At 42.3% G+C, this 11,150-nt stretch overlaps 2 annotated features.

Annotated features, from left to right (window-relative positions):
- Positions 7,208 to 7,502: an enhancer, noted in NCBI's record as "tiled region #10991; HepG2 Activating DNase matched - State 8:EnhW". NCBI's record gives its function as "activates a minimal TATA promoter and a strong SV40 promoter by Sharpr-MPRA in HepG2 cells {active_cell/tissue: HepG2}" and the evidence as "EXISTENCE:reporter gene assay evidence [ECO:0000049][PMID:27701403]".
- Positions 7,208 to 7,502: a silencer, noted in NCBI's record as "tiled region #10991; K562 Repressive non-DNase unmatched - State 24:Quies". NCBI's record gives its function as "represses a minimal TATA promoter and a strong SV40 promoter by Sharpr-MPRA in K562 cells {active_cell/tissue: K562}" and the evidence as "EXISTENCE:reporter gene assay evidence [ECO:0000049][PMID:27701403]".

An 11,150-nucleotide genomic window follows, 5' to 3' on the forward strand; every position in this document is an offset into this window, starting at 1 on the left:
GCTCTAGCTGTGCTTTGTTAGTGGTTGAGAGTATGGAATTTGGAGCCAGTCTTCTCTGCATTTAAACTTCAGCTCTACCAGGTACATGCTCCATGACAGGAAGGAAGTAACAACTGCTCTGTCTGGAGAGTTGTGCTGGAGCCAACTCAAAAAAGCTGATTTTGCACATCTCTCCCAACTCTGTGTTCACCAGCATCACATTGGTAGTTTAAAATCTATGACGGGCCGGGCACGGTGGCTCATGCCTGGAATTCTAGCACTCTGGGAAGCCAAGGCAGGCAGATCACTTGAGGTCAGGAGTTCCAGACCAACTTGACCAACATGGCAAAACCCTGTCTCTACGAAAAATACAAAAAGGAAAAATTAGTGGGCATGGTGGCAGGCACCTGTAGTCCCAACTACACAGAAGGCTGAGGCAGGAGAATTGCTTGAACCCAGGAGGCGGAGGTTGCAGTGAGCCGAGACCGCACCACTGGGCTCCATCAGGAAGACAGAATAAGTGAGACTCCGTCTCAAAAACAAAACAAAACGAAAAAATTTCTATGATGTAGTGAAGATTTACCCCCTTCAGAAACTGGCTGGCAAATGTTACACATTGGATGGGTTTCTTTCCTTTTCTTTTTTCTTTTCTTTTTCTTTCTTTCTTTCTTTCTTTCTCTCTCTCTTTCTTTCTTTCTTTCTTTCTTTCTTTCTTTCTTTCTTTCTTTCTTTCTCTCCCTCCCTTCCTTCCTTCCCTCACTCCCTCCCTCCTTCCTTCCTTCCTCTTTCTTTCTTTCTCTTTCTTTCTCTCTCTCTCTTTCTTTTTTCTTTTCTTTTCTTTCCATCTTCCTTCCTCTCTCCCCTCTCTCTCTCTTTCTCTTTCTCTCTCTCTCTTTCTTTCTTTTTGGCCTGTGGAGTGAGCTGTGAGATTTACCAGCACATCACTGACTTTTTACTTCATTCCTCATCTCTAGAATGGCAAATAATAACAGTACCTGCTTCATTGGATTGCTGTGAGAATTAAATGATACAGAAGATGTTCATGTCACAATGTGTTTGGTAAATATATATAATCTGCTCTTTTAATTATTTTAATAGTCAATGGAGTATCTGGGTTTCTTTTGGTTAATGATGCAGCAATCAGCTGTCCTAGAAATTGCAGACTGTGCTGACCTGGAGGGAGGAAGACCCTTCCAAACCCCTATCCAGACTCCTATAAGACTCAGATTTTTAAAACAAAGCAAAACACAAAAGCAACTCTTTGCTTGCGGATGACTCAACTTCCTTTTTGGTAGGCTCAACTCTGCTTCCCAGGAATCAGCAGTGATTAGTGATAGAAAGAGTAGCCCTCATGACCCCAGGTGACCATCAGGACGCTAGGGCAGGAAGGAGCCTGTTGATTGAGTGCTGACCTGCAAAATTACCAGCACAGGTGTCCAACAATTTCATTCTTGAGAAGCCAGAGTTGAGTTTCTGGGGTTGCTTTGGAGGGTTCAGGACATGCTGCAGGGTAATAGGAAGGACATGGGGTGAGAAAAAGGTTCCTGCCAAGTTGCTGAAAGACACATGATAGCTCAACAGGGAACCAAGAGTCAGGTTTAATATTGTTTCTGCACCACACTTAATAATTGAGGTCAATGGTTTATCAAGTCCTCACTGAGGGCCACAGAGAGGACAGGCTTCTAAGTGCAGAGAGGCAGCAGTAAAGGCTGAGGCTGCGGGAAACATAATCAGAGTTTAAAACACTAACACTTACCTGCTGGTATGGTTGAGAGGCATTCCAATAACCCTTGGCCCCTGACTTTTCACTGTGCCAAAATCTAAACTATTACACTAGGTCTTGAATAACTTTTGAAAATGTGTGCTTTCCCACCTAGTTAAGGCAAAGTTGCCTCAAAGACAAATATCACATTAGCACAGATGCTCTTATAAGAGCAATTACCATCAATGGTCACTGCCTGGAAGTTGGACCTGGAAATGACATGCTGGATGGTCATAGTCTTGTTAGATGAGGTGTGCGTGTGATGATAAGTGGGAAACAGCTTGATTTAAGGGACACTTTAGTCCATGGCCAGCACAGTAATGATCTTGGGAAGCCTGAAGCTATGTCTTCTGTTGAGCAATAAGGTACAGGGCGCAGAAGGGGCAAAATAAGTCAGGGAGTCCAGTTAACATGTGAGATGGAAACTTAAGGATAGGGACAGAGCACGCACAAAGCCCAGGGACACAGCTTTTTGCTGGACATTTTGCCTGTACTAACTGGTAAATTAGACTGCACAACAGGAAAGAAGCTTGTGATAGCAAAAGGGGTCGAAAACGGGAAGGACACTCAGAGGGCAGGAACTATGACGGGGCTCTGCGGCCTTGTGGGCAGCAGGGAGAGTGTATTTTTGGCCTGCGGGTCTCGTGAGCTGGAAGAAATCAGGAAAGGGAAGCTGAGCATTTAATCCTACATAGATCACAGGCTAATCGTGCCCATTTAGTGTTTGAAAGTGAGAAGTTGTCAAGGCTTTGTGACAGCCTTGAAACCGCAGGCATTAGAGGATAGAAATCCTGAGCCCAGAGGGAGGCAGGCACTCCCATCTGCCCAATTTGGTCTTCAACAGCTTCCAACTCTTCAATATTCCCAAGCAGAATCAGATTAAGCAGAAGTGCTCATAATAGTTCTCCAATTTAGCCTGTATCTTCTCTCTCTTTCTTTTGTCCTGGGGGCCATGTGCCATTAGGAGCAGAGGTTGTGAATGTTCCAGAAATCCCTTTGGGATGCAGGCCTTCCTCCCATGCAGAAAATGCCTACTGAACACACTAAATGCCAGGCACATGCCTTGTACTGGGGTGCAATGGTGAGGGGTGACACCCAGAGGGAGTGTCCCCCTCTTCTGTATTACTTTTTGCCTGACCTTTTCAGTAGACTTCAGAGTTGGTCATCATGACTTCCTGAACTCATCTCCTTCCATCTTTCTCTCCTGAGCTCTGAGAAGCAAAGTCAATTCAAATCCAAAGTGCTGGGCATAGGAGTTTGTTTCGTAAGAATTCAAACTTTATTGTTTTACCTCTAAATCTGGCCTGCTTCTATAGTGCTTGAGACTTAGCAATCTCTCACTACTCTTAGCTGTTTTTGTTGTTGTGGCTGTCAATATTATTTAAAACTGATAAAAACTGCACAGGGAAGTTGACACAGTCAGATATTAAGTTGATATGCCTATCATTGAATGTCTGGAGCAAGGTAACCTCACCTCAGACTTGATTCCTAACAAACTTCAGTGAATATTCAATTTTTGTTTTATCACAAATGTATTATTACACCTGCCTATATGGGAAGGTGAAGATGGGCCAGTTGTTTGCTTTGAAAGGAGGAAAGAGTGAGAATGTACAACTGAATGAAAAAAAATATTTTGGCCACAGACACTTTTTCTCTTGGCTTTACAATAATAAAATATGTAGTGGGATTTTTATTTTGCTTTAGAATTTTTAGTTGTTTTTTCCTTTTTGAAGTGCTCCTTCAGAGGAAACAAATCTTTCTATTGACATTGAAAATGAGTCATAAGAGAAGTGTTGCTACTTTCCTTTTGAGGGATTTTTTTTATTTAGTTTTGTTTCCATTAAGTTTTAGCAACAGGAAAATATGGACTTTCAGCATCCACAGGGATATGATCAAATGGAAACATATGCTCCCTGTTTGTCCATTATTACAAACCATGAGAAAACTCACAAATCACTCATAGACTTTCTAGAAAGGTTGATTTGACAAAATATTTGACAAAATAGCCTACTGCTTCCTTGATATTTCTGAAACCAAATGAGTATTTGTGTTTTGAAAAAGCAAAGTTGATTAAAAAAAAAAAAGCAGCTGATGAAAGGCCCAAAATGCATATGGGTCAACTATGTTTATTGCAGAAACACTAGAGAGTGGATGAGAGATGGGTCAGTGGGCACAGAAGCCCACCTGCAACTGCACTCACACCTTGGCCTACATTGCCAAAGAGACCAATATATCAGCAATTGATTGGAAATACCACAAAGATGAATCACAGATCAGGAAAGCAAATGCCAATCAATGATTGAGCCTAGGCAATAATATATGAGCTAAAGGCATTTATCAAACCTGTGGAAAATTAGAAGACTTGCCTAACATGGCTGAGAATGCTACATATGAACCAACTTTTAGAATAATTCAGTCTTTTTTTTCAGTCCCCTAGAATAAAAAGGGCATATCTAAACTCTTGAATTTATTTTGATTAAATCAAGAATTCCCTCCTGTATCCTCAGGATCTGGTATTGAGTAGGGACACGATAAAACACTTGTCAACTGGAAGGACTCTATCAGCAGCACCTGGGCTCCATTTGATTTTTTAACCTGCTTAGTATTTCCAACCGTAATGACCAAAATGTCTGCCTTCAGTTACAGTATTTGTACCCTGAGGAAATGAAATAATTTAGCCCCCTGGCCCTCCACCCCACTCCGTTTTCTCAGCTGCAAACAAAGGGATTGGACTTTATCTGGTTGCTTTCAGTTCCGTAAAAGAGAGGTCAAATCCACTTTATGTTGTCAAGGATTCTTTTTCTGTTTTGTGAGATACCTGGTTTTTAGATTCCTCTCCCTTTTTAATTTTTCTCCAGTTCTTCCTGCTTTCTGCATCCTCTTCCTGACTTTCCATTGTTTTCTCTTTAACAATCACACACTAGAAAATATGTAGAAGTGAGTGAAAAATACATCTCATGCTCTGTTTAGTGTATCCTCAAAAAGACTTCATGGTAAAAGGGTGGTTAGGATGCTGTGTTCTCTGTGGGTTTCTACTTTTATTGTATTATAATTTATATTTTCATGCTTACTACAACTCTGGCTGTGATTTATTTTTCTATCCCAGATATGGTGAAAAATAATACTAATATGTGTGTTTTTTGTTTTTAGCTGGGTATTAGCAAAAATCATTCCATTTTCCCTGAGACATCTTGCTCCAACCACCTTGCAGTGCAGCTATTTTGATTACTTCATGTCACTATTAATCATGTGCTTAAAGGAAATAGATAAACTTTGAAACAGAATTCAGCTCAGCAAAGGTTTATTCATTATCTCCTGGGTGCCTGGCTCTGGTGCTAGGTGTTTAGAGGGAACAAAGGTGAGTATATCAGGGCCTATGGTGGAGACAGCAGGAGAAGCTGAGTGAGAATTTACATACTCTCATGTGTGACTTATGTATCAAAAGAAAGGCCCAAAGTGCTTGGAGTATTAAGGCAAAGGAGAAATGATGTATGTGTATGGAAGTGATTTGTTTGGGTGAAGTCCTTGGGGTCTGTGAGAGCGAAGCCTTTCCATATCCTGGAGTGCTTGGGTGTGGAATTCAAATCTTCCTCAGTTGGCAAAGGGGTACCAAATGGAAGGCTTTTACCCAGGAAACCATGATGCCACTGGTGCTTTGGGAAGATGAATCTGGCAGGAGTATGCGGGGTAGTCCAGGGCCGGGGGAGGGAGGCCTGGAAAGAGCCTCTCCGTGTCCTGATCCTGGTTGCACTGCTTCTTTGCCAATCCCTACTCCATGTGGTTGCAGCAGCTCACAGCTATAAAAATGTGTTGACCCAAGAGGTTTAATATTAACCAAAGTTATAGTCAAAGTCAATTTGGAGGATTCAAGAAAAAATCTGATGCTAATAGAGAAATAGAAGTCAATATTTGTAATGTGAGTCACAGGCTCAAAATAGAAAAGTAAAACACATCACTGCTACAGTTCCCAGAGGGCTGTGGGTTACACAGCGCAGCAGATCTGTGAACCAGGCCTCACCACCCTCTAGGTCTATTTTAAAATTTCCTCTGGCCCCTTCCTCTAATTCCTAAATTCCAGAGCATGATATTCTAGTGGAACTCACCAGATATCCAGCCCTGGTGAAGTCATAGCTTGTTTTGAGTGGGTCAATGGAAAAAAAAGATTTTTTTCCCTAGTTGTGTATAACCTTCCTCTCTAGTGACGTGGCATGGAACGAACTTATCATGATTTTATTTTGTAGTCCATACTTCATTCTACAGTGGCTATCACTGTTTAAAACTTCATCTCTTATGTGTTGCCTATTTTGAAGAAGGCAGAGGAGAAGAGAGGAAAGCAGAAATATTCAGAATGACATATATTTTTTGTTTTATCACAAAATTTATATATTAATAGCAGAGAGGAGGGTGTTGTCCACTGGAGGGGCTATGACATGTTGAGGAGCTTCTAGAATTTTCTTTAACAGGATGGCTTTTGTGAGCGTTCATGGCGTAGCTTTATCCTGACTCAGATGTTAATCCTGCACAGAGGCTTGAATGTGTTTTCCTGAGTGTGATCAGAAAATGAAAAGATTCATGAAGATAAAGGAAAAAAAAGAGCAAACCATAGCATGTATACCCAATGATCAGCAGTTACTTTCTTAACAGTGCTTCACCTAGTTTATGTTGTGGGATGTACAACACACAAGGCTAAAATTAGCTGCTCTTCACCCAATGTGTTGGAATGCTATAGGGCCAGATAGTATCTTATCACAAGTGACCACAGGAAGGACAATGCATTCCAAACTGAGTCTTCAAGGGCCAAGGCGGGTTTGATAGAGTCTGAGATTTATAACCCAGGCTGCTGTACATGAATCCTCTGGAGGGCCTGAGAAACGTGTGATACTTAGTTCTCCCTTGATTTCTTTTTATTGCTTTGCAAGAAGCCCAGCTTATAAAGTTCAGTTTGAACACTATCTGCTTCAAAGAGGGGCCTGGTGATGAGACCAGAGATGATCAGATAAGAAGGAAAAAGGAAGTGGTGAGGATGGGTGCAGCCAGAACAGAGTGGACTGGCAGCTGATGAACCAACCTGGGCAAGGAAGTAGCTTGAAGGCTGTGTCTCGGGGTTGGCCATTTTTCCTCCTTTCTCATCCGGACCTTGTCAAGATCCTGTGGTTTATCATAAGTTACCAATGCCCAACCAGTATCTGCTTCCTCATCAGCACGATGGTCATAGCCCCATCTCCCTCGCAGCATGTTTTCAGAAGTAATTAATGCTTGTGAGATGTTTTGAGATCACTGATAAAAGACATTCTACCTGCCCAGGGTGTTATTACATTATCTTATTTTCCTCTTCATAGTCAGGATCAAACCCACGATAACTTAGAAATGAGACAAATTAGTAAAACGTGGTATGTGAAGGCTGCCTTAACAATTGGATATGTATTGAACTGGGCATTGTACTTGAATTGTATACACAAAATGTGGTGCTGGGCTACATCTTAAGAAATCTTAATTACTTTCAGATTCTGTCAGGTTACATTTCATGACTCTACTTAGATCTCCTTAGAAATGGTAAATCATTAAGAGCAAGGCATCCACTGACGTTGCCCATCAAAATGGACTTAGTACCTGGCCCCAGAAATGCCCAAACTACACATGACCTTTTGCGCATTTATTTCTGTCTCCTTAGAGGACTGTGTATCTCTTTGAAGAATAGGAGAATAGACAGGATATATAGCAACTGGTAATTTCAGTTTATGATGCTCATGTGAAAATTGGATTGTCACCAAAACCCTTCAGGGTACGATCCTCCTCTTACAAAACTCAGCACTGTACTTCATGTGAGGCATAGATTAAGAAAGCTTTTTCCTTCTCCAAGGAAGGGGCACTGCCTTGAAAGCTTACGTGGTTATTAAGAGTACTTCCATCAGATCTTTCGAAAGAAAGGTGGAGATGACCAAAGGGCAGAAGGTCACCTACGTAATAAGATCCACATGAGACAATAATTAAAATGGAATGCTTAAGGAGGATGCACGTGTCCTGACCATATAATTCTCGATAAAATTACTCTAAATTGATCTCCATTTAAATGAGATTTTCCAAAAGGCCACCTCCCATTTCATCTAAAATTCTTTATAAGAAATTCACGGATGAAACTCAGGGGATAGGAAATGTCCTGAAATGAATGCGAAATGTTATCCACTTGTGCATTTTTCTGGGAAAATAGTTTATCCCCCTTTCCTTATATTTCTAACAAACATGGTCCATGACGCTTAAGAACCACAGTGCCATGTGAAATAGTATAGATTAAGCGTGTGAAATTGATACGCAGTGTAGGTTTGTTTCCAAATGCAGATTAGGCATTTTATTTTCAGACAATATTTAGTTGTGTTTTCCTTGATGCCATGCTGATTTTTATTTTCCTGTAATCCTCATCCAATCACAATGTTCCACCAAAGCCTGAAGGTGCATATAAAATATGTGATGTGACCTTTTACCCATTTGGAGATATAGAAAAGCATCCTAGGAGGTGTGTCAATTACAGCCCTTCTCAATAGAGAACAAAGATCATCTCTTGGAATATGGCCTAAGGTTATGGGGAGGGGGACGGGGACAAAGGATCAGTGTCAAGGTGGGGCTGAACCCATGCATTCTAATCAGTTGCCATTTCCCATTCTCCATCCCATGCAACATGCAATGCTGGCATTTTAACCAAGAGATAGATGTTAGGGAAAGGACAGGTAGTGCAGGCTGACACCATAGATCTTGGAACAGGGCAGGGACATACAGCTCAGTGTTTAAGGGCACTTAAACTCTGAGTTGGGAGAGTAAGTTTGGGTAAGACCCAATGAGCCATGTCCATAAGAATGTTTGACCTAGACTGAAGATCAGGCTGGAGATAAGGAGAGGGAGTAGAAATTACTCCCCAGCACAGTTCTCTTAGGAAGTGGCCTGGATGTCTTTGAAAGGCATAAGCTTTAAGCTCCCCTTCCATCACATGAATGGTGACTGGTGTCATGAGTGTGTATACCAGGGAATGTCCCAGGCCACGTCTTGAGTGAGCAAGGGTTAGCTAAGCCATATCACGTAGTTCGTCTGGTGAGGAGAGAAACTGAGATTGAGAAAAGCAAGAATTCAAAGGTTACATTGCATATCAGCATGGCTGCAGAGAACAGCAGCTATCAGTGGTCCGAACTACAGGGTCTGTGGTAGATTATCTACAGAGATAACAGGCCACAACTTCTCTTAAGTCTGCATATTCGTGCCGCTTCTCCCATCAACAGGGGGAGTCTATTTCCGTACCTCTTGAATCTGGGTTGATCTTGAGCCTTACACTAAGCCAGCTTTTGAATGATGCAGAAGGGATGTTCTGGGATTTCCACACTCAGGCCTTAAGAGATCTGGTAGCTTCTACTTTAACTCTTACTATTCTGAGACACCACATGAAAAAGCCCAGGCTATTCAGCTGGAGAGAGAGGCTAGGTGGAGAGGAAGGCCCCGGAGCATAAGAGACCACATGGAGATCTCTCAAGGAGAGGCCACAAGGAGAACCAAGGTACTCCAGCAGCCAGCCAGCACCAGGGCCATATTAGATCCTCCAGCTCAGCCCAGCCCAGCCCAGCCCAGCCCAGCTCAGCCGACAGCTGAGTGCAGCTGCATTAGTCCAGCCAATCCCATGTGAAGTAGAGACAAGCTGTTCCACTCAGCCCTGCCCAAATTCCTGACCCAGAGGATCATGAGCAATGAAATGATTGTTGTTTTAAGCCACTGTGTTCTGAGGTGATTTGGCACACAAAGCCATAGATAACTGGAACAATGTCTGAATGGTCCTGGGGAACTCAGGCAGAATTCAAGATTGTAACCTCTTGGATATGCTAAGTGAGGTTTGGAAGAGGGAAGTTTAGACAGAAAAGTGCCAGCCTTGTGGTCTTTCTGGTTTAAAATGAAACCCCAGAATCTCCCCAAAGTACAGCTTTTTGGGGAGAAGACTGGCAAAAATAAGAGTGTAAAGGCTTTTGTACGGACTGGATATGCATATGGGAGACAACCCATTCATCTTCCCTCTTGCTGGTGAGGAGACTTCTAATGGTCTCTGTCTTGGTCAGAACTGGTGTAGGTAGCCCTGCAGGCTGGATGCTGGCATGGCAAGCGGTGTTATTTCAAGCAGCTAGTGCTGTTCATACAACCAGCTCATGTGCCCTCTGCCCAGCAGAAGACAGAGGAGAAGCCCAGCCCACCAACCAGACACTAAGGGAGGTTTTGTGCCAGACACTTGGCAGTCACCTTAAAGAGACAAAAAGATAAATAAGACATAGTTTCTATTTGTGAAAAGTACACGATCTTGGGTTTCACTTTTTTTATATGTCTTCCTTTCAGAGTTGCCCTTGGTGTCAAATTGCATCAAATCTCACCTAGCCAAAGCATGGCAGGGATTCAGAAATCTCTTGGGAGAGCTGTCCTAGGCCCTGCTGGCGTCTGGGACAAGAATGCAAGCCTGAGTGCATATGCTACAGCTCTGTCTGCTGGCATGAGAGTGTACAGGTCTTCGAGGTTTTGCAGGTAATTCCGATACCTACACATTTTATTTATTTATTTATGAGTCAGAGTCTCACTCTGTCACCCAGGCTGGAGTGCAGTGACTGGGTCTCAGCTCACTGCAACCTCCGCCTCCTGGGTTCAAGTGATTCTCATGCCTCAGCCTCCCATGTAGCTAGGATTACAGGCATGTGCCACACACCCAGCTAATTTTTGTAATTTTAGTAGAGACGGGGTTTCACTATGTTGGCCAGGCTGGTCTCAAACTCCTGACCTCAGATGATCCATCTGCCTTGGACTACACATTTTAAAATAAGCAGATGATTTATCCTCAGTGACTCAATGAATAAGTAAATACTTAAATATTCAGCAAGAATTTACAGAATCTCTATTTTATATGAGCCCCAAGCTGAACCAATTGCGGAAGGATAGAAAAGTCTTCTTGACAAGTTTTCCTGGGCACTGTGGTGTTTCTTAATTTGCTGCTGTTGTTTCTGCTATTTCTAATTGGTTTTGTTATCTCCATTCTTTGTGTTGTATTTCCCTGAGGTGTGGAGAAGTTAAGGCCAGAGTTAACGTTTATAGCATTAATTCAAACCCCAGAAGACAAGAGATTGATAAGAGAAGAAAGGAAAGGTAGAAAAAAGATTATCTACAAGCCAGTCCCTCCTGCTACTCTTTAACTGAAACCATGAAGAATGAACCCAAGCTTAATACATTTGTATGCCCTGTGTTGTGTATTTGTGTGCATGATGTTGTGGGTTATTGTATGCATCACTGTTCCTTTGAGAACTTAGTGGAATTCCATTAGGTTCCAATTTATCCCATCAAACAATGTCATAAATCAGGAACAATTTACCTTCCTGATCTAACTGGGAAGGACTTTACTCAG

The sequence above is a fragment of the Homo sapiens genome, chromosome 20, assembly GCF_000001405.40.
Source record: "Homo sapiens chromosome 20, GRCh38.p14 Primary Assembly".
Lineage (NCBI taxonomy): Eukaryota > Metazoa > Chordata > Mammalia > Primates > Hominidae > Homo > Homo sapiens.